This window comes from Homo sapiens, chromosome 16 (genome assembly GCF_000001405.40).
Source record: "Homo sapiens chromosome 16, GRCh38.p14 Primary Assembly".
NCBI classification, from domain to species: Eukaryota; Metazoa; Chordata; class Mammalia; order Primates; family Hominidae; genus Homo; species Homo sapiens.
The window spans coordinates 57,904,303-57,927,556 of NC_000016.10; the positions used below are offsets into that span (position 1 = coordinate 57,904,303).

Sequence of the window (23,254 nt, forward strand, 5' to 3'; positions counted from 1 at the left end):
CATGTTGTCTGACTCCATGCTGGAGGAAATAGGAAGCCAGTGTGCTGTTCCTCGGGGCGGGGCCCTTCAAATATAAATTTGAGAACCTCTGACTGTCACCTCATGTCTCGACCAGAATGTAAGATGCTGCCCTGGCACACCAGAAACACCAGGGGCTTCTCCCTCGGTCTCTGCAGAAAACCATTCAGCCCAGTGCACCCGGAGGAACTGACATTTCAAATGATAATGACCTCAGAGAGGGAATAGGGCCGAGTTCACCACCACCCCCTTCACCGCGCAGGGACCAGTGCTCCAGGCTCCTGACTCTCAGTCTAGTGCCCTTTCCCAGGCTTAATCCAAAAGCAACGGGCACAGAGGGTGACATTTCTGGCAACAGTGGGAGGGGGCCCTGCAGTCAGGTGGGGTGGGAAGCTGGGCTGGTGCCCCGATACCTGTCCGATCATCACAGAGAAAGCAAAGACGCCCGTGAAATAATTCAGCAGCTGGAAGACAATTTCAAAGAGTGTCTTGGGGTCAGGCAGCCCCCCGATGGTGATGAGGGTCTTCACAGCAAAGTAGTAACAGCGAATATAACTGGAGAGAGAGGAGAAAGGGAACATGGGTCATCACAGGCCCCACTCTGCCGCCCCGAGCAGTCTGGCTCAGACGCCTCTGATAGATGCATGTTGTGCAAAAGACAGAAACCCTTTACAGCTCATCTATGCAAGGAAAACCACCTCCTGCACGTGTAGAGCACGTTGCCGTTTGCAGAGCAGGTTCACAAATGCTATCGGGTATGGTTGTGTCTCTAGGGACATGTTGCCATCCCCATTTACAGATATGGAAACTGAGGCTCCAGGGGATTTCCAGGAAGAGTTGGCAGGAGGCCAGACCAGGGTCTTCCAACTCCTAATGACCGCACTCCCTCAATTTCCTTCAGTGTTCCTTCAATTTTCAGTCTTTTCATTTGCTATCTCCTGCCATATTGGCTTATGAAAAGCAAAAGCAACATCAAGTTTGGACGATATCTTGAGGATGACTTTTTCTGACCCGCCCCTACCCGGCCCATCCATTTTCCAGAGAGTGAAACTGAGGCCCCCAAAGGGAAAGGGCACACCCGTGGTCACTAGTTGGTAAGTACAAGAGCTGGGCGCTGTCTGCTTCTCTAAGATGTCATCCACCAGCAGTAACCCTCTGACGTCGGCTTGTGAACCTTCTGGAAGGGAGGTATGGGGGAGGGTGTCCTACTGTGTGGTAAAAGGCATAGGAAATGCCCCAAGTGCTCCAGTCTGAATGTGTCCCCCGAAATTCAGGCATTGGAAACTTAATTCCCAGTGCAATGGTGTCAGGAGCTAGGGCCTTCGGGCGCCGTTTAGGCTGCGAGGGCTTTGCCCTCATGAATAGATTAAAGCTGTTACAAAAGGTTCTGGTGGAGGGTTTCCACTTCCTTTGGCCCTTCTGCCTTCTTCCATACGAGGACAGCATTCCTCTCCTCTAGTGGACACTGTGGCCTTCAAGACATTGTCTTGGAAGCAGAGAGCAGCCCTCACCAGATGCCAGCACCTTGATCTTGGACTTCCCAGCTTCCAGCACAGTGAAAAATAAGTTTCTGTTCTTTATAAGTTACCCAGTCTCATGTATTTTACTACAGCAGCTCAAAAGGCATGAAGACACCAAGCTTGTGTGTGATTATCACAGAGCAGCAAGGGTCCCTCTGACACCTGTCCACACCTCAGGCTGAGCCCTCCCCTGGGTCAGCAAAGGTGAGGTCAGAAGGGCCTAGACACTGGGCAGTCCCTGCCGGCTTTCCTGCAGCAGCTATTTATGCAGTGTCCTAGATAGAACATGGGCTCTGGACCAGGCTGGCTGGGCTCAGCCATTCGGCTCAGCCACCTTCTGGCTGCATAACTTGGACAAATCTCTCTCTCTCTCTCTCCAAGCCTCAGTTTCCTTCTCCATAAGATGGGGATGGCAATAGAATGTCCCTTACAGAAGACCATGAAGACAAAATGAGGTGCTAGAAGAAGCCTGGCACGTGGTGGACTCTCAGCAAGGGAGCTGTCAAAGCCTTCACAGCCACTGTTGCCTGCCCTGGGGAACTGAACAGATTCGCCCATATCCTCAAGAAGCTCGTGGTCCAGTGAGGGGACAGGCAGGTGACGTGCAATGCGTGCAGGAAGGAGGAAGCAGAGGTTGCTGGGGAGTGTGGTAGGGGCTCTGCCTCTGATAGCTGCGGGGCCTTGGGCAGGGCTGTGGGCCGCCCTGCACCTCCACATCACCTGTTGCCTGCAAGTTTCAGAACCCAAAACGGGCCTGTCAAGCCCCCGTCATACTGGTTCTGGCCATCAGAGGGCACGCGAAGCAGCGTTTAGCGGGACGGAGCAGCACCCCCAACTCTGCAGACCCCTCGGCTGTCCGGGAGCTGGGTGCTTATGCCGCTGGGCCACCAACAGAGAGAGGACATAGGCGCGATGTCCACAAAGCTCTGGCTTTACCCCAAACCCTTCCTAGCTGGAGGAATCTTCCAATGACATGCCACATCTTAGGGGCCTCCCTGAAGTCTCCTTGTCCTTGTCTGTGGGGACCATCTGTGCTTCAGGATGGGCAGAACTGGGGCAGGAGAGCACTGGGGCGGGATGCAGGGCCTAGCATTTGTAGGAGCTCGGGACCCTGAGCCCCTGGCACACAGCAAGCACTCCACAAATGTTCGCTTTGTAAAAGTTGTTATTCTTCATGCTATTGGAATTTCTTAAGAATCCTCCTTCATTACTCGTACTCGGTTCACATGTTGGGGTTCCCTGCAGGACGACATTTGGGAAGGAGTATTGCTGCCAAGGAAGCGTGCCCTTCCCACTGCTGGGCAGCTCGAGCTCCTCCCGCAGAGGGCCCTGCAGAAGGAGGTCCCAGATAGCTGTCCCCCTGCCCCACCCCTGCCCTGCTCTGCTTACTCTCCCTTCCCTGAGCTGCCCAGTGACGGATGTGCCAGGCTTAGCCCCAGGGAGGAGAGTTCTTAGTTTACTGGGGCACAAGCCCCTTTGAGAATCTAGAGAAAGCCAGCTCTCTTTCCCTAGAAAAGCCAACATATGCTCAAATTTTAGCTCCAATGTCTGGGGGGTTTGTGACCCCCTAAAATCTCTATACCCCAGGTTATTAACTCCTTTCCTGCCATGCTGGCTTCCCCCTAACAATAGCCATAGCTAGGCACAGGGGCCACTGACTCCTGTTCAGGCCCAGGCTAGACATGCTACACATATTAATTTATTATTTCTCATAAGAAATCTGGATGTAAGTTACCCACATTGTGCCTGTGGGAACACTGGGTCTCAGAAAGGGTAAGCTCACAGAGTTCAATTCCATGCAGAAATTGCATTCTCCCCTTTGCATAGAAAGGGGCTTCAAGTCCCCCTCTGCCTCCTTGTGATGGGTTAGATGAATAAGGAAGTGAATGAATGCATGGTTTAGCCAGGGCTCAGGAGCAGGGCTGTGAATGGGAATGGGTAAAAGGGCCACTGGTGACGTGGGGAAGCATTAGATCTTGACCCCATCCCTGATATTCTCCACCTCACAGTGGCTCTCAGGGACTCCTCTCCTGCCTGCCTGGGCTGCCCTGGCCTCTGGCACATCTCTTTCGAGACAAGGTCTCACTCTGTCACCCAGGCTGGAGTGCAGCGATCTGGGCTCACTGCAACCTCCACCTCCTGGGTTCCAGCGATCTTCCCATCTCAGCCTCTTGAGTAGCTGGAATTACGAGCGTGTACCACCATGCCCAACTAAGTTTTGTATTTTTTTTGTAGAGAGGGGGTCTCCCCATATTGCCTAGGCTGGTCTCGAACTTGTGAGCTCAAGCAGTCTGCCTGCCTCAGCCTCCAAAAGTGCCGGGATTACAGATATGAGCCACCAAAACCAGCCTGGGACATCTCTGTAAAGGCGTGGCTCCCCCTCGGGGCAGGGCTCATGGCAGAAGGCGACGGCCATAGCCATGATGGCTGAGGTTGGGGCATCTATACTGGGAGGGGACGTTCTGAACAATTAACCACTCTACAAAGCCGCCACCTTGGACGCAAGCATCCCACCTGTTCCCACTGGGAGCAAGGGCCTGGGGGTAGACAGCTGGACCACGGGCATTTTGTGTCACTAGTGGGCACAGCCCAGGGTGAGGCGGGCACCCTTCGGTGAGTAACTCCCCGCTGGACCTTTCCTTCTTCCACCTTCTCATCCTCACTATGGCTGACTGAGCGCCCACTGTGCCCAGGCACTGAGGCAGGGGCTCAGAGGCATCTACTCCTGTCACTTCTTTAGGGTGGGAGTCCCATTTGCAGCCCCATTTTGCAGGTGAGGGAACTGAGGCCCAGAAAAGAGAAGTGGCCTGTCTCCGCTGCCAGGGGGCAGCTCTAGGAGTCACACTTGGGGACTCCTCATCCCTCGTCCCTCAAGCCTCCGCTCTGACTCTGCAGGCCCAGCCCCCATCCTGTGCGCATCCCTCCTGCCCACACTGCCCTCCCTCCCCTAGGTCAAGCCACCGGTTGGCCTGGAGGGTTTGCTGCTCTCTCTGACACAGCAGGGCCCCTTGCTGGCTGTCTGCTGCCTGCCCTCACCCCCAGTGCACTCTTCCATCAGCACGAGGGCTGAGCCCTCCCTCTGCTCACTCTCCTGCTTAAGGCTTTTGACAGGGCAGGGGAGCGAGTGTCGCCTTCAACACCATCCAGCCTTAAAATGAGGTGCACACCTGTAACTCTAGCACTTTGGGAGGCCAATCACAGGCAGATAGCTTGAGCTCAGGAAGCCGAGACCAGCCTGGGCCACACGGCAAAACTCCATATATCCAAAAAATACAAAATTAGCTAGGTGCAGTGGCGTGTGCCTGTGGTCCCAGCTACTCGGGAGACTGAGGTGGGGGGATCACTTGAGCCCATGAGGTGTAGGTTGCAATGAGCTGAGATCATGCTGCTGTACTCCAGTCTGAGCAACAGAGAGTAAGTCCCTGTCTCAAAAAATAGTAACAATAATAATAATGGAGGTGGCATATATATGGGAACTCTCTCTACTTTCCAGTGGACCTCTCTATAAACTTCAAACCACTTTTAAATAAATTAAGTCTGTTCATTAAAATAATTTTCTAAACTTTTTTTTCCTGCTCTCTGTTGCCCAGGCTGGAGTACAGTGGCGCAATTTTGGCTCACTGCAACCTCCCCCTTCCGGGTTCCAGCGATACTTCTCCTGCTTCAGCCTCCCAAGTAGCTGGGATTACAGGCGTGCATCACCACGCCTGGCTAATTTTTGTATTTTTAGTAGAGATGTGGTTTCGCCATGTCGACTAGGCTGGTCTCAAACTCTTGGCCTCATGTGATCTGCCCACCTTGGCCTCCCAAAGTGCTGAGATTACAGGCATGAGTCACTGTATCTGGCTAAAAAAGTTTTTTTAAATGTTAGTAACTTTTGGTGACTTTTGGTGGAATCAACAGTGCTCATGCCCACCTCCCCCACTCCCTCTGGCCACCAGGTTGGCACTTTTCCTTTTCATCGAGGCAGTTAGGACTCTGTGGCCATGACACCTGGGTTCAAATCCCAGCTCTGTAACTCATGAACCGTGTAACCTTGGGAACTCCCATCTGCTACCTCAGCTGTAAAATGGGAATGGGGCGGTACTATCTGATGTGATGGTTGTGAATTACTGTGTTCAGTGCTTTAAGCAGGGCTGGCACAAAATAGGTATCCTACAAGCATTGCTGCTATTATCATCATCATTGTCACCATCACCACCATTGTAAACCAAAAATAAATTATAAGGCCCCCAACCATCGGAACGGACCCCTCCTCTTGGCCAAGGGCTTTCCCGAGTTACCTGAAAACCTAATTCAGGCCATGAAGGAAGAGGGGGTCGGACACGCCTCATTGTACCCCTCCAGCGTTAACATCAACACAGACCTTAAGTCTGGTAAGAAACATCACAGTCTCTTTTCTCTAAAGCCCGCTATTTAGAGGCTTCATCTGCATGAAAATACCTAGGTCACCACAGCCCCTTATCATAACCCAGACATTTCTTTCTACTGATAACTCTTTCAACCAATTGCCAAGCAGGGAATTTTTATTTATTATTGTTATTATTATTTTGAGACAGAGTCTTGCTCTATCACCCAGGCTGGAGTGTAATGGTGCAATTTCATCTCACCACAACCTCCACCTCCCGGGTTCAAGTGATTCTTGTGCCTCAGCCTCCCGAGTAACTGAGACTACAGGCGCTGCCACCATGCCTGGCTAATTTTTGTATTTTTATTACAGATGGGATTTCGCTGTGTCGGCCAGGCTGGTCTCGAACTCCTGACCTCAAGTGATCTGCCCGCCTCAGCCTCCCAAAGTGTTGGGATTACAGGCGTGAGCCACCAAGCCCGGCCTTTTTTTTTTTTTTTTTTTTTTCCCAAGCAGAGATTTTTTTAAATCTACCTATGACCTGGAAGCCACTCCTCCCTTTGAGTTGTCCCACCCTTCCAGATCTAACCAATATAAACCTTACATGTATTGATTGATGTATCCTGTCCCGCTAAAATGTATAAAAGCAAGCTGCACCCCAACCACCTTGCACACATGTCATCAGGAACCCCTGAGGCTGTACCACGGGCGTGTCCTTAACTTTGGCAAAATAAACTTTCTAAATTGATTGAAACTTGTGCCAGATTCTTTTTGGTTCGCACGTCATCATCATCCCTTTGGCAAGTCTCATAATGGATGGTGGCTCTCTGATTGGCAAGTGGGTCTCACCTCATTCGCCAGCACCTCCATGGTAGCAGTGCCTGGGGAGCTGTGCTGGGGAGTATTCTCTGGCCTCATTCCCTCTTGGCCATGCCCGGGGAAGCAGGAGTAGATGCACAAATACAGCGTATTTGCACACCCTAATAGAGTTTGGATGCAGAAAGGATCCAAGCAAGTCTTGTTCACACCAGTACCTCCGGCCTGGCACATGCAGGTGCTCAGGAAACCTTAGCTTGGGGAAGATGTAGTGACCTGGCTCTTTTTCTATTTTTATTTTTTGAGATGGAGTTTCGCTCTTGTGTCAGGCTGGAATGCAATGGCACGATCTCGGCTCATTGCAACCTCCGCCTCCTGGGTTCAAGAGATTCTCCTGCCTCAGCCTTCCCAGTAGCTGGGATTACAGGTGTGCATCACCACGCCCAGCTAAGTTTTGTATTTTTAGTAGAGATGGGGTTTTACCATGTTGGCCAGGCTGGTCTCTAACTCCTGATATCAGGTGATCCGCCTGCCTTGGCCTCCCAAAGTGCTGGGGTTAAAGGTGTGAGCCACCACACCCGGCCCAAGATGTGGCTCTTGAGCCTTGTCATGCCAGTGATTGCTTAGGAGCAAAGTGGCCTTGGCAATACAGCAGCAATAAGACTCCTTCCTGGAGTCTCTGTGCTGCGAATTATAAAGAACAGGAAGGTCACCCAGGCATGGCCCCAGGGGGAGGACTGTGGCTCACCTGTTTCCCACGCCATCGTAAACCCAGTGAGTGGAGCCGAGGCCCTGATAGGCCGATGCCCAGTAATAAAGACAGGAATTCAAATGCAGGCTGTAGAGAAGGTAGGCTGTGGTCCTGATGACCCTGCAGAAGGAACACAGCGCATGAACACAGCGGCGGAAGGGGGAGGTGAGGTATAGACACCTGGACAGTGAGAGCCAACCCATGGCTGGGCTGGCCCGACTGGATGCTTTGTTGAGATTGCACCAGTTAGGAAGGGTGGTGCTTGAATGGGGCGTTGTCATGACCTGGGGCTAGGATTGGAACAGAGGTAGCAGAGCTGACTGTGCACTGGGGGATGGAGGGGCCAGAGGGGAAATGTGTGTGTGTGTGTGGAGGAGCAGGGAGGGACTGATGTGTGCAGAGGAGTTGAGTTGAAGATGGGGCCATGTCGCCCCAGGAGAGATGTGGACAGGAGCCTTGCTCCCTAGCACGGCCTGGCTGGTCTTGCACCTCATGCTCAGACATCTGTGAAACAGCCACCGCCACCTTACACCTGTTCCCATTCTGTTAGAGCTGGCTGGGGGCTCCAGTTCCCTGAGCTGAGGCCAAAATGAGGCCCGGTTCGCTGCAATGCTGGTAAGCCCCTCGTGCCAGCTGATGTGCACCCTCATCACAATGAGGGGCATCGGATATTCCTGGTTCTCTAAATAACAAACATTTCTCTGGGAAAGAGGAGGCGGGACCAGGAAGATGCCTGGCTTCCAGTGGAGACGGGGCCTGGAGGTCAGTGGGGGTAGACAATGTCTTGCTGTCTGTTCTAGGTGCAAACTTCCTGTGTTGTGTGTGTGTGTGTGTGTGTTGTGTGTGTCATTTGTGTCGTGTGTGCATTGTGTGTTGTGTGTGCACTGCATGTGTTGTGTGTTGTGTGTGTTTGTGTGTGTTGTTTTGTGTTATATCTCTGTTGTGTGTGTGTTGTGCACGTATGTATGTGTTGTGTGTTGTGTGTGTGCATTGTGTGTTGGGTGTGTGTATGTTGAATGTTGTGTGTGCATGTATGTGTGTATGTTGTGTGTGTGTTGTGTGTGTCGTGTGTGTGTTGTGTGTGTGTCATCTGTGTTGTGTGTGTATTGCGTGTGTTGTGTGTTTGTGAGTGTCATGTGTGTGTGCATGCATGCACATGCAGGGGGAGTCTCACCTGTACACGTAGGCTTTGCTGAGGATGGATTCCAGGCGGCTGTTAAACTCGAAGAAGGCCATGTACTGGAGGGAGAGGAGGGCGTGAGAGCAGCCCACCGGCCATAGGTAGCATGCTGCTCCCACGCCCACGGGCGCCGAGACTCAGGGCTCTTCCTGCAGCCCCCAGGAGGGAACAGGACGGTGAGCATTCAATATCAGAAGTCCTCAGCCCCTTGACGGGTAGGGGCCAGAAACTCCATTTAGGAATCTGAAGAAAGTCATAGCCCGTCTTCCCTTGGAAATGACATGTAATCTTGTTCTCACAATTTGCATATAATTTCAGGGGACTCCTGGACCCTCTGAATTCTATCATGAGACTTTTAGGGGTACATGCATCCAGGTTAAAGCTGCTGTTTTTAATGTTTCTTATAAAGAAAACAATTTAATAAAGAGACAGCATCCCTAACACCCCACTCTTATATCCTTCAAAGGTTTATTTATAAGAATAAAAGTATATTAATAACTACTTTTCTTTATTGAGCACCTATTATATGACTGGCATATGCCTTTTTTTGTTTTGTTTTTTCAGAGACAGAGTCTCACTCTGTCACTCAGGCTGGAGTGCAGTGGTACAGTCATAGATAACCACAGCCTCGAACTTCTGGGCTCAAGCGATTTTTCAGCCTCAGCCTCCTAAGTAGCTGGGACTACAGGCACACATCAACACTCATGGGTAATTTTTAAATTTTTTGTAGAGACAGAGTCTCACTGTGTTACCCAGGTTGGTCTCACATTTCTAGGCTCAAGTGATCCTCCTGCCTCAGCCTCTTAAAGTGCTGGTATTACAAGCATGAGCCGCCACACCCAGCCAGCACATACATTTATATACATTACCTTATTCCTTATTTACATATGAAGTATGTATTATCATTCTCCTTTGACAGAAATTGGTGCTCAGGGAAGTCCAGTAACTTGTCCAAAGCACACAGCTGGTATGTGAGAGAGTCAGCATTCCAACCCAGGCCAGACTCAGAGCTGCAAGCTCTCTCCTTATGCTATACCACCTCTAGATCTTTGGATTTATTTTTTGATATTTGAAAATAGTATTTATGAAGATTCTCTAAGGGATATTCCAGTTATCATCCATGTGTTCATTCTAGTTCCAGCCACAGTTTAAACTGGAGGCAGAAAGAACAGGGGCTTGGATGGCTCACTTAAAGAGTTTTGTCCACTGAATGGTGTTCAATGTTAGGCCTGTGAGTTTTGCCCCCTCACTGGGGCCACCATGTGACCCAAGGTATGGATCTCACCTCTGCGTCTGGGGTGAAACTTGGCCTGTGGACCCAACCTTCCTCACTCTGATGTTTGGCTCTAAAGCAACCTCTGCAGCCCCTGGGAGGCTGGTATGTGTCAAATAAGAATGGTGCCAATTCCACTTTCCCCCTTCCTCTTGGCAGCCAGGAAGCTCAGAGGCAGCTTCCATGCTCGATTCCACATAGGTGTGCTTTCTTCTCATCAGGGCACTTGCACGCCCCCTAGTTTTCTCTGCCCTGTTTCTCTGGGTTGTTCATGTTATTGCATTTGCATTTTTTGTAAATTCCCTCAGTACTGTTTTCAGAAAAAGGCACCAGTCTTCATTTCAGGAGACAGATGAATGTGATTGGTTGGCCATCAAAATCCATTTGGGGGATCCTGAATGCTCTGAGTGGCTATCCACCCTGATCACGTGACAGGACCATGGCCAGCTGTGGCAGCCAGACCATCCTGGAGACTTTCGCTCTGCCCAGTGAGTGCCAGAAGGAATGGCTGGAATGACACTGAGGCCTGGCCAGTGATGAAACGGGTGTCTGGCTGTGCATTCAAATCCATCCCTGGCACTTCCTTGCTCCTGCGACCTAGGGCAAGTCCCCCAGCCTCTCCAAGCACCAATGTCCCCATCTTTTAGACAGAGACCATCATAAAGCAGAAGATCCCCTCTTGAGAGTCTCTATAATCACTGAGAGCGTAAACAGTGGAGACAGATGACCTGCATTCATATCTGGGCTCCACTCCCTCCTGGCTGTGTGACTTTGGGCAAATTAATTAACCTCTCTGTGCCCCAGTCCTTCATTTGTAAAATGCTGGCAATAATACTACCTAACATGCAGCACCACAGAAGCACTAGCAAATTGTAATGAACTTTCCACTAAGACACACGTGGAATAAATGCATCTCCCCTCGGGCCATCCCTTGAGGAACTCCCCTCCCCAGTGCTGCTGGGGGCAGACACGAAGATGCCAGTGTCGGTGCAGAGCAGGGATGAGCTGAAGGCCTGGGGTGGTGGGCCCAGCAGTCCTACCTTTAAACAGCGGGGCAGGCGGAGGAGGGGGTTCACACCGACTTTCAAATAGAGAAAATCCAAGGGCAGGAGGCTGAGCAGGTCCATCTGAAATCCCAGTGGGACACCATGGGGGTAAAACGGATGACTCCAGGGTGGAAGGTGAGGGGAGTGAGAGGCGGAGTCTCTCCCTTCCATGGAAAGGTGAGGTCAGAATGCCCCAGTAGAGCTTAAAACTAGAGGGCAGAAGGTGTCCCACCGACAAGCCCTTGTTTGGCTTCAAAGCCCGTGTTGCCAGCCCCAAGGGCAGCTTCATTATCCTCGATAGTGGCTGCTGTGCCATACAGTAAGGGGCGGGAGTGGTACAGACACAATGAAAGGTGGCTTCTGGCCAGGCACGGTGGCTTATGCCTGTAATCCCAGCAGTTTGGGAGGCCAAGGCAGGCAGATCACTTGATGTCAGGAGTTCGAGACCAGACTGCCCAACATGGTGAAACCCTGTCTCTTCTAAAAATACAAAAATTAGCTGGGTGTGGTGACGCACACTTGTAATCCCAGCTACTAGGGAGGCTGAGGCAGGAGGAGTGCTTGAACGAGGAGGCAGAGGTTGCAGTGAGCCGAGATCACACCACTGAACTCCAGCCTGGGAGACAGAGTTAGACCCTGTCTCAAAAAAAAAAAAAAAAGAAAAGAAAAGAAAAAGAAGAAAGATAACTTCTGGGGGCTACCCAGCCTGTGCTGGTCTCCTGGGGCTTGTGGTTTGGAGGACACTCCCACAGGGACCAGCATCCCTCCGTGTGGCAGAAACCACATCTCATGAACGCCCCAGGCACCCAGGGCCCTCTGAGGCACCCCCTTCTGAAACCCCGCAGACGCTAAACCTTGCATGCCCGGCACACACCTTGAAGCGGCGAGACTTCAGGTAGTTATTTCGCATGTCCTTTTTGTCCGTCTGAAAGAAAGGGAATGATGATGGTGAAATGACCTTACAGCTTAATCTCTGACCCTGTGGAGCAATTGTGAAACTTCCCCAAGAACCCCACCCTGAAACGAGCATAACAGCCCAAGGACCATCTGAGCCTTGGTGAAAGCCTTGAGTTTTATGGGTGGAGAGGCCCAGCCCCCAGGGAGGAGGGATCTGTTCTGGTCACCCAGCTAGATCCTGATTTCTTGGGTGGAAAGCAAGGACATTAAGCTTATTCCCTCTGCCCATTGGTCTTACCTGGACCATTTGCACATCTGTTTACTAAGGAATTGGTAGTCACTCTGATCAGGCCAGAAAAGAGGTTCTCCAAGGAAATCTCTTTACTTTTTACTTTACTCTCTTTAAATCTCTCCAAGGAAAATCGTTTACAGGCAAAACCTGAGCTTGTCTGCACACAGCAAAACAGGCACTGCCGGGGTGGAATTTTGGAAAGTGACCCACACTGGGAGACAGGGACTGTGTCTCCTGTTCCTGAGAAGTCACAGTCAGGGCCTCAGTTTCCTCCCTGGTAAGGCAGGGGTGGTGCACGGGGCTGGACCAGAGGCCAGGGTCTCAAATTGGCCCAAGTAGGAGAGCATCAGTGTGTTTTTGCAGGACCCCTGGGAGAAGTCAATTGCCAGTGGATACCTGTGCTGAGCGCCCCGCATGCATCGTTTCAACCAATCCTCATGGCAACACTGGGAGGTGGAAGCTATTACTAGCCCCATTCTACAGATGAGGAAACAGAGGCGATTCAGCTAGTTGTGGTGGAGGTGGGATTCAAACCAGGTACATCCTCACTAAAGACCATTCCCTGGACCACTTCTCTATCTTTGATTCTGTCAAGTGGTCCAGGAACTATTTCACCTATGAGCAATATCTGATGTGCGTAATTTGAACGTATCAAAGGCATGCAAAATAAACAACCATGCTATTGAACAAGCACAGCAGCCGTTCTTGAGATTTCCTTATTCACTTATTTTGTCATCTATGACAGCATCAGGGGTCAGTGCCCTGGAGGCTCTGGCTGAGCGGTCTGCCCCCGGTCACCCCAACACCACCTGCCTGTGACTCACAATGATGTCCCCGCCTCTGACAAACTGCAGGCGTGTCTGGAACACGGTGATGTCCAGGAAGTAGATGAGGTCGCATAGGTAATCCATCAGCAGCCAGTGGTGGATGTTGTCCGGGGTCTGGTAGGGGAAGGCCCAGCGCACGGGAATCAGCCAACAGTTCCAATTCCAGGCCATCACCACGAAGAACAGCCATAGGACATACATCAGGTCTGTGGGGAAGGTTGACGGGGACGCTAGAGCATCAGCCAGGCAAGGCTCTTCACCAGTTGGATCAGGTAGGGTTTTGTTCTTTCTACTCCTTCAACTACTACATGTGGCACTTTTGTAAGAGTGTGTGTATGTGTGTGTGTGTGTATATATACACACACACACACACACACACATACACACACACACAACTCTCTGCTTTAGGAGCCAGGCACAGTGGCTCATGTCTGTAATCCCAGCACTTTGGGAGGCCTAGGTGGGAGGATTGCTTGAGCCCAGGAGTTTAAGACCAGCCTGGACAACATAGCAAGACCCCCATCTCTACTTAAAAAAAAAAACACAACTATCTGTTTTAAAAATAAATTACTGCTAATCCCTAATAAATCAGAGTACTCTCAGGAGGGACTATGCTGGTATTATAAGATAATAGGCAGCCAACTGGAAAACTCATTTGCTTTTATTCTTCTTTAATTTTTTCCCAAAATGTATTTTCTTCCTCAGTAAATACAGAATAGTAAATAATGCATGAAGGATGGACAGATAGATGGACAGACAGGTGAATGCATGGATGGATGGATGGATGGATGGATGGATGGATGGATGGATGGATAGATGGGTATTCCAGATCATCTGGTTATTTATTTATTTATTTATTTATTTATTTATTTATTTACTATTTTTGTAGAGATGAGGTCTCACTATGTTGCCCAGGCTGATCTTGAACTCCTGGGCTCAAGCAGTTCTTTCACTACAGCCTCTCACAGTGCTGGGATTACAGGTGTGAGCCAATGTACCCAGCCCATCAGGTTATTTAAAGAATCCAGTGGACACCAGGGTTGAAGTCCTGCCCCCCAAATGTGTGACCTTGAGAAAGTCCCTCTCTGGCACCTGCCCTCTTCTGAGAAATCACAGGAAAAGGTCAGATAAGAAAGGCAGGGAGCCCTCTGTAAACTCTAAAGTGCTATGCACATATGAAGTGGGTTATTTCTGAGGAATATGAAGTGGGCTTAAAGGGAAGCAAGAGGAATTCACATTCCTGCTCTTTTTCTGTTCAGAGCAGGAGCTCTAGGAAAAGGCCAGCACGACCAGAGTGAAAAAGGACTTGGCCAAGAGTCAGGAGTCCTGGGTCCGCACTAACTAGTTGCATCTTTACCCTGGCTGACTTATCTGTACCTTAGTTTCCTCATCTGTAAAATGGGTATGATCTTATGTTCCTATTCCAGGGACTTTTGTTGTTGTTTTTAAGACAGAGTCTCACTCTGTCACCTAGGTTGGAATGCAATTGTGCGATCTTGACTCAGTGCACTCTCCACCTCCTGGATTCAAATGATTCTCCTGCTTCAGCCTCTCAAGTAGCTGGGATTACAGGTGTGCACCACCACACCCAGCTAATTTTTGTATCTTTAATAGAGGCAGGGTTTCGTCATGTTAGCCAGGCTGGGTTTGTTTTGAGAATCAGGCAAGAAACTGTGGAATACTTTTGAAAGGTATAAAAGATCATGAACCCAGGTTGTCTGTGGCCTCCCATCCCACCTCTTGAATCCCCTGACCCTCTCCCCATCCCGCTCCAACTCTCCTGCTCTCTCATCTTACACAGTGGGAACACCCATTCCCCAGGACTCACTGGTCAGCGGGTCAATGCTCTGGGGAAACTGGTACTTCTTCCAGGGGCGGTGTTTGAACTTGCAGCAGAGCATGTCGCAATAGTGCTCCTCTTCCACTGGCTCGGCTTCAGCGGGCTTTGTGTCTGGAGCTGGCTCTGGGGCTTTCTTGGCTGGGGCTGTGGGATGACATTGGTGACCATCTGAACCAGCCCTGAGGCCCAGGTAGAGGATGCAGAGAGAAGGGTCCCAACTGCAGACCTTGGATCCAGATCTGAGAGGACCCTGGCACCATTATACAAGCTACTGCAAGCTCTGTGTGCAGAACCCAAGGTGCTCTTCTGGAGTGAACTCCACAACCCTCCTCAACAGCAACAGCAACCTGGGTGCCCACCCAGAAGTTCTTACCAATTACAGTCTGGAACTGCTTCTCAGAAGCTGCCCCAAATGAGCTGTTTCTGGGCCAGTTGGATGTTTCAATGTCTGCTTGTGTGTTGTGCTTAGACCCCCTTTGTTCCCTCTGATGGGATGGGGGCATTTTGTACCCAGTGTTCCCAGTACCCATGGCTGGAATGCTGAAGGGCCTAACAAAATCAAGGAAGTATTGCTCCAGGTTTCTGAGAGGGAATCTCAACTCTTTCATCTCTAAAAACAGAGACCAGATGGGATCACAGCCTCCCTGTGCATCTATGATGATACTTTTGGTCTAGGGATTGGCTCTTATAGGTTCAATATGGCTATGTTTTCCAGCTTCAAGACTGGGACATCAGGCTCTGCATGGCCTGTTGTGGGCACCATGATTTCCAAGATACAGCCTTCCTCTGGAAAGATCTAAAAAATCTCCCTGACAAGAGATCATGTGTCTTATTTCCTCCTGATACCTTGAAAGAAAAGAAAAATTCGGATAGCCTCAATAAGAACTTTCAAGGCACTGACATCTCTGAAAAATAGGACTGCCTAGTTCCAGAGCAGGCTGTGCACACAATCTGAGTGTAAGACCATAAGATACATTTTGGGGTGGCACCACTCACCTACCAGTAGGAAAGGGACAGAAGGGTCAAGGAAGGCACTTGCCCCATGGGAGAGAGGGCCGAGTGCAAGTGGATTGTTGGTCAGAACTTTGATCTTCCCACCCTTGGGTACATATCTCAACCTGTACATATGGATCCCAAATCCAGAGAGTGGGGATCTGGGCTTCTCTCATGGACCTCAACCATTTCCTTGGGGCCACCCTTGCCATGAGTTGACAGGGAACTTTGGAGGCCCCACCCCATCCCCATCCAGGTAGACCCCCTCCAGCTCCAGACTCACAGGGCTTGGGGCTCTCCTCATCAGAGGTGACGTCAGGGTCAATGAGTTTCTCCTTCACTTTCTCTGTCCGCTCCTTGAAGAGCTTCACCAGCTCCTGGAGCCGGTCGTTGATGATGGCGCTATTTGTGCTGGCCGTGGAGGCCGCACGGTCCTGGCCACTGTGGGAACATCACCCAAAGCTGAGCAGGCTGAGCCGGGAGGGACCTGTGCACCCCCAGGCCAGAGCTGTGCAGCGTCTGTGTCCCACCTTCTGACAGAGCCTGAAGGAGGTAAGTCCTGCCCCCATCTCCTTCTGACATCAGAAACCACAGACCTACCGTAATCACCTAGAAGGAAATTCAGTCCGGGAATAATGCCCAGGTGTTCTGGCCCAGCTTTTGGAAAATGTACCACGTAGGCTCTGATTCAGATGGGCAGTTCTGGAAAAAGCGTGACTCCACTTGTAATTTAGGAGGAAACTCTTGGAACTCAGTTTAGAGTTCAGCAAAATTGGGCTGTTCATCCCAGTGCAGGGTTCACATGAGATATGTGTCCAGGGGCAGAACAGAGAGGGAGCAGGCCTACTTTTTTAGGCTTAGGATGTAACTGGTGGAAAAAGCAGTGCAGATACATTCTATATCCCTTTAACTTACAGGAATTAAAGTTTCTGCACTGTCAGCAAGAGAGAGAGAGAAACTGCTTTCTTTCCTCTGAGTAGCCTCACTGAGATCATCTTGCTGAGCTGAATATCTTTTTTATCTTTTTTTTTTTCATACATTAGGACACAGAAACTGCAGTCGACTACTCTTTTTGAGCTCAACTGAGGAAGACGGGCTGGAGAAAATGAGGCTCTTTTTTTTTTTTTTTTTTTTTTGAGATGAAGTTTCACTCTTGTCGCCCAGCTGGAGTGGCAGTGGTATGACCTCGGCTCAGTCAACATTCACCTCCTGGGTTCAAGCAATTCTCCTGCCTCAACCTCCTGAGTAGCTGGGATTACAGGTGCACGCCACCAAGCCTGACTAATTTTTGTAGTTTTAGTAGAGAGGGGGTTTCACCAAGTTGGCCAGGCTGGTCTCAAACTCCCAACCTCAGGTGATCCACCTGCTTCGGCCTCTGAAAGTGCTGGGATTGCAGGCGTGAGACACCGTGCCCGGCCAAGTGTGGGGCTCCTAATGAGAGCTGGCATACAGGTGTGGCGGGGACATGAGCTGCTCCCCTACACTCATTCTCTCCTGTGGTGCACACTCACTGGGATATAGCCACCCAGCCAGGGATCACGTGCCAGGCTCTCGCTATTGGAATGTGAGCTCTCAGACACAATACATGCAACTAGGGGCCTCCTTACTGAAGACAGGCCTGGAGTTCTCCCTTTCTAGTGGTGACCAGTGGGACATGGGAAGGCACATGGATAAAGTGGCAGAGCACTGTCATCTGGGTCCCTAAATGATTGCATGGAGCAGAACCTTCTGCTGACCTGATGCATGCAACTATTGAGATGATGATGGTATATGATACAGTTCCTTAAGCCACTCAGCTTTTGAGGTCCATTTGAGGTCCAGCAGCCTAGCCTGCCTAGCTAATACATGGGTCTCCAAGGTGACCTCCTTAAGAGTTTTCAAGAATAGGTTTTCTCATTATACCTCATTTCTGCCTTCGTTTCTGATATTAAACCCTACCCCTACCCTATCTCATAAAATGTGAGTCCACTGCGTGCTGCAGTGGGCAACTGGACTGAGGGTGGGGTTGGGGCTTCTTCTTGCTTATCTTTTCTAACTTTCCACAGCTCTGTTAAGCATAAACTGCATAAAATTGTGGATAGAAAAAAAGACTGGAAGGAAGAAGGAAAGCCTACTGTCTCCTGTGGCTCATCTAGGAGTCATGGCCAAGGACTGTGATTGGGGATTCCAGGCAGAGCCCAGGGCCCGGGTATTCGCCATCCACCAGAGCTTCTCAGATCCTTCGGGAAGAAACCTCCCACTGGCCCAGCCCTGGGGACAGTTCGATCTCAGAGACCCAGGTCCCAATGCCATCACAGTGGTTTCTTTCTCTCTTTCTTTCTTTCTTTCTTTTTTTTTTTTTTGAGATGAAGTATTGCTCTTGTCACCCAGGCTGGAGTGCAGAGGTGTGATCTCAGCTCACTGCAACCTCTACCTCCCAGGTTCAAGTGATTCTCCTGTCTCAGCCTCCCAGGTAGCTGGGATTACAGGCATGTGCCACCACGCCCGGCTAATTTTTGTATTTTTATTAGAGACAGGGTTTCACCATATTGGTCAGGCTAGTCTCGAACTCCTGACATCAGGTGATCCGCCCACCTCAGCCTTCCAAAGTGCTGGGATTACAGGCATGAGCCACCACGCCTGGCCGTCATCATAGTGGTTTCTAAACATTGTTCTGCAGGCCAGCTGCACCACATCCCCTGGGGAGTTTGGAAAATGTGAACTCCCCAGGCCTACTGTCTGCAGCTCTGATCCAGCGCAGCCAGGTAGGGCCAGGGAATCTTTTTTTTTTTTCTTTTTTCACAAACTCCCCAGGGCAGAACCCACTGGAGATCCTGGTGGTCCTCCCTGTCCCCACTGACCTTTCAGAAGTTCAGCAGCAGGAGCCCTGCAGGCAGCTCCCCTCAGCCTCTCCTTCACAAGGGGACCTCTGCCTAGAGATCCCTCCCTCTCTGAGCACTGCTGGCCGTGGACACAGCTGGGCCCAGAGGTTGAGCCCACTGGATTTAACAGGACTCCTGGGCCAGCCAGAAGCAGCCTGGGCAGGCGACCGATCCCGACTTACTGCTCGGAAGCCACTGGCAAAGTCTGCCTTGCGGTAGAAGGTTCTAAAAGCATCCACACTAGCCCCCCCACATCCCCCACCCTCCCCGCAGTCTTTCAATTTTCTGAGACCCCAGAGGGGTCTCACTCAGTGTCCTTCGGGGTGGTGGGGTCAGACCAGGCAACCACTGGGGACTCTGCTGGTGACAACGCCTTGAGCTCTTCAGCCTCATCATCCTCAGAGGGCAGCTTCTTCCTGCAAAGACACAGATGTGGAAGGGGCCTTCAGCAAAGGCAGAGGCCCCAGGGAGAAGTGTCATGACTTTGATCCCTAAAGATCATCTAGAGCCAATTCCTAGATAGAGGATGGGGGGCGGAGCATGAACTTCTGAGTCCTCATTTGCCTGGAGGGAGGGAAAACGGCAGAAGAGAGGGGCATAGCCACTCTCTAGACCTCAGTCTTCCCATCTGTTAAATGGCTTGGCCTAAAGGTAACAGCATTGGTATTGCACCCCAGTCCTGCCTCTTACCTGTGTGTGGCCTCAGCAAATTACCAAAACATGCTGAGTTACCTCAGTTTCCCCCTCTGTAAAATGGGATTAAATCTACTCAAGTAAATGAGATACTTATCACTTAGTTCTCAGTTTCAACTTCCTTCCCCTCTCCTGCTCCCTGTCTAAAGTCACCCACCTCATTCCCCTCTACTCTCTATCACACCACCTTTTCAGCTATCAGAGAAGCCATGGAATCCAGTCTCCGCCTTACGGTGTGACCTTAGGTAAGTCCCATCCCCTCCTGAGCCCCAGGCTCCCTATCTGAAGAATGAGGACTAAATGATCCTGGGGTCCTCCATCAGTCAGGAAGTCCAAGTCTGCCATGGAGTACCTCATTCTTGAGCCATTAGTGTCTTGGCTTATGGTGTCTAGATCTGAAATCCACCTGAATTTCAGAGACAAGAAGGTTCTTGCCCAACCTGCCTCTGGCCTGACATCAGCAGGTTGGAGCCTGGGTGTCTGACTTGGTGGAAGAGGTGATTTTGACACTATTTTATGTTGGTATCTTAGGGGCTAACTCTCTGGATTTTCCCACCCTCTGTCCCAGCAGAGAGAATGAATTGGTTTACTGAGAAACGCAAAAGCCTGGGAAAGAGGAAAAAAGATCAAGAGAGAGAAATTCCTTAATACCACCAAGAAACCAAGCTCCAGTGTTAGAGAAAGAATCCTCTTTAAGATAGAGTAGAACTAACTGATGTAGAAACACAAAGATTGTGTCTGGAGGACTCCGCCCAGGCCAATATCTACCAATAGGAAGAGCATTTCATATGTCCATGAATGAAGTCCTGGTGGAGAAGAATGGTCATTATTAATGACTTCCATTAGCATTTAAAACACAGAAGGCTGAGTGTTAGCACATGAAACCAAGAGTCTGGGGACATGGGTATGCATGTCACACATGAAAGCACATCAGGATGAGCATCAGATCAGTCAGTAGCATGAAGATGAGAGTTTAGGACTTGACGTGGTTTTGGCTCTGTGACCGCACCAAATCTCATGTTGAATTGTAATCCCCAGTGTTGGCGGTGGGGCTTGGTGGACGTGATTAGATCACGGGGGCGGAGTTCTCATGAATGGTTTGGCAACATCCCCCCTTGGTACTGTATAGTGAGTGAATTCTCATGAAATCTGATTGTTTAAAACTGTGTGGCACCTCCCCACTCTCTCTCAGTTCTGCTCCTGCCATGTGAGAGCCTGTTTCTTTTGCCTTCCACCATGAGTACAAGCTCCCTGAGGCCTCCCCAGAAGTAGATGCTGCCATGCTGCCTGTACAGTCTGTGGAACAATGACCCAATTAAACCTCTTTTCTTTATTTTTTAGTATTTTATTTATTTATTCATTTGAGATGGAGTCTTGCTCTGTCACCCAGGCTGGAGTGCAGTGGCACGATCTCGGCTCACTGCAACCTCCGTCTCCCAGGTTCAAGCAATTCTCATGCCTCAGCCTCCCAAGTAGCTGGGATTATAGGTGTACACCACCACACCAGCTAATTTTTTTTTTTTTTAGTAGAGATGGAGTTTCACCATGTTGGCCAGGCTAGTCTCAATCTCCCAACCTCAGGTGATCCACCTGCCTCAGCCTTCCAAAGTGCTGGGATAACAGGCATGAGCCACCACGCCCGGCCTCTCTCTTTTCTTTATAAATTACCCAGTCTCGGGTATTTCTTTACAACAATGCAAGAATAGACTAATACAGGAATTGAACCTGAGTGTACCAAAAATGGGCATAACATGGTAGTACACACAGCTGAATCAGCAAGAGAAACTTGGCTGTGGGGACATGAAAATAAAATGCAAGTTGGGAGTGGTAGGACTAGAAAACGGTTAGAGGCTGGGCACCTGCTGTGAAGGTCAGGCTGCAATTGCTACACTCAGCAGGGCTCTCCTCAGCCTTGGTGAACACAGGGCAGCCTTGCTTCGGTCTTTAGCTGTGACTCTGTGAAAGTAAAATGGTGGAGCTGACTTCCAGAAAATAGGTCCTGGGACCTTGGTTTCCCAAGGGAAGTTCATGATTACTTTTTTTTTTTTGAGATGGAGTCTCGCTCTGTTGCCCTGGCTGGAATGCAGTGGCGCAAGCTCAGCTCACTGCAACCTCTGCCTCCCGGGTTCAAGCAATTCTCCTGCCTCAGCCTCTTGAGTAGCTGAGATTACAGGCAGGTGCCACCATGCCCAGCTAATTTTCGTATTTTTAGTAGAGACAGGGTTTCACCATATTGGCCAGGCTGGTCTCGAACTCCTGACCTCAGGTGATCTGCCTACCTCAGCCTCCCAAAGTGCTGGGATTACCGGCATGAGCCACCGCCCCCGGCCATGATTACTTTTTACCAGGGCCTTCATTTCCGTGAGGTTTGATCAGAAATGGAATCCACAGGCAGGGAGCTTCACCTTGGGACCAAGCCTGACAAGGATCTTTAGTGATTAATCTGCAATTCCCAGCAGAAGCTGAAAACTCCAGCCAGTCCCCAAATTCCACCCTTTCCCCAGCTGGAGTGTCAGAGGAGGAGCCTCTGAGAACACACCCTGGGGCCCAGCCCAAACCTGCTGACATCTGCACATCTTCCCAAGAAGCTCACCTCAGCAGAGGTTCCTACTCCAGCCCCTGAGGGCCAATCAGAGAGCTGGGCAGGAGGACACTGGGGCAGGGGTCACTGAGGCCATCACAGTGCAGACGCAGCACTCCACTGGGACCCAAACCTGAGTCTGCCAGGGTTCTAGGCCAGCGCTCTTCCCCAGCCTCATCATCTTGACTCAGGATTGTACCACTAGGATTTCTAGGGGGATCCAGAGGGAGGGATGTGTGACATCCACCTTGATTCCAGAAGGCTCTGAAATGATCCTGTTGCCTTCTGCCAACTCGCCGAGGATGGCAAAATTCATGGATTCACTTTTTTCACACTGTAATTAACAAGAACAGCCCCACACAAGAAGATTGGGGCCAAAAACCCCATTGCTGGGACCCAAAGTCCATCCTCCTGTGCCCAGCACAGGGCACTCTCCTGAGCCTAGAAAGTGCACACTGCCGCTGGATGCTGTGGCTTACACCCGTAATCCCAACACTTTGGGAGGCTGAGGCGGGCAGATCACTTGAGGTCAGGAGTTCAAGACCAGCCTGCCCAACATGGTGAAACCTCGTCTCTACTAAAAATACAAAAATTAGCCGGGTATGGTGGCAGGCACCTATAATCCCAGCTACTTGGGAGGCTGAGGTAGGAGAATCGCTTAAATCAGGGAGGCAGAGGTTGCAGTGAGCTGAGACCATTGCATTCCTGCCTGGGCAACAGGCAACAAGAGCACAACTCTATCTCAAAACAAAACAAAACAAAATAAAACAAAACAAAACCCACAAAAGTCAAGCTGCCCCAGAGAAGCCAGAATGAGGACCTAAGCTGGCAGCTTCTGGTCCCCCAGCACTGCCTGTGTCTGGCCCTGTGCTCAGTACCTTAGGGTGCAGTAGCTCGTTAAATTCTCACAATTCTAGTAACCAGGTGGTGTTTCTTTCCTCGTCTTACACGGGGAAAATGGAGGCCTAGGGAGGTTAAATGACCTGCCTTAAGACCCACGTCTTACAAGTGATGCTCTGGGATTCACTCCAAGCCATGGCCTTAAGCTGGAAAGAGGGACTTGCTCAAGCTCCTCTGTGGCTTTTTGGCTCCCAATGTTCATTCTGTCCCTGCTCACAGTCAGCCCCACCGCCCTCGGCCTCTACAGAGAGGCAGGCCTCAGAACTCTCCCCTCTCAGGGCTGGGCTCAGGCAGAGGTTTCCCACCCTGTTTCTCATAGTCACAGTCAACCTGGCACTTGCTTGTTTATTTGGTTACTTGTTCATTGTCTATCTTGGCCCCTCTAGAATGTCAGCCTCATGAGGGCAGGCCCCTGCCA

General features: G+C 50.5%; 1 protein-coding gene across 2 annotated transcripts in view, besides 2 other annotated features; it reads right to left on the reverse strand.

Moving 5' to 3' along the window:
* The window catches only part of CNGB1 (cyclic nucleotide gated channel subunit beta 1), an 88,789-nt gene that overhangs the window by 21,963 nt on the left and 43,572 nt on the right, over positions 1 to 23,254 (reverse strand). For both annotated transcript variants that reach the window (NM_001286130.2, NM_001297.5), the window contains exons 18-26: positions 18,971 to 19,078; positions 16,085 to 16,242; positions 14,797 to 14,952; positions 12,966 to 13,174; positions 11,827 to 11,877; positions 10,947 to 11,033; positions 8,628 to 8,692; positions 7,451 to 7,573; positions 432 to 573 (exon numbers count right to left, since the gene is read on the reverse strand). In NM_001286130.2, coding sequence (NP_001273059.1) covers positions 432 to 573; positions 7,451 to 7,573; positions 8,628 to 8,692; positions 10,947 to 11,033; positions 11,827 to 11,877; positions 12,966 to 13,174; positions 14,797 to 14,952; positions 16,085 to 16,242; positions 18,971 to 19,078 — 1,099 coding nt within the window. The remainder of the gene's footprint in view (positions 1 to 431; positions 574 to 7,450; positions 7,574 to 8,627; positions 8,693 to 10,946; positions 11,034 to 11,826; positions 11,878 to 12,965; positions 13,175 to 14,796; positions 14,953 to 16,084; positions 16,243 to 18,970; positions 19,079 to 23,254) is intronic.
* Positions 2,181 to 2,390: a silencer, noted in NCBI's record as "silent region_7538". NCBI's record gives its function as "represses an Ori minimal core promoter by ATAC-STARR-seq in GM12878 lymphoblastoid cells {active_cell/tissue: GM12878}" and the evidence as "EXISTENCE:reporter gene assay evidence [ECO:0000049][PMID:35858748]".
* Positions 7,096 to 7,802: an enhancer, noted in NCBI's record as "H3K27ac-H3K4me1 hESC enhancer chr16:57945302-57946008 (GRCh37/hg19 assembly coordinates)". NCBI's record gives its function as "activates a minimal SCP1, AML or CMV promoter by ChIP-STARR-seq in primed H9 embryonic stem cells {active_cell/tissue: H9 hESC(primed)}" and the evidence as "EXISTENCE:reporter gene assay evidence [ECO:0000049][PMID:30033119]".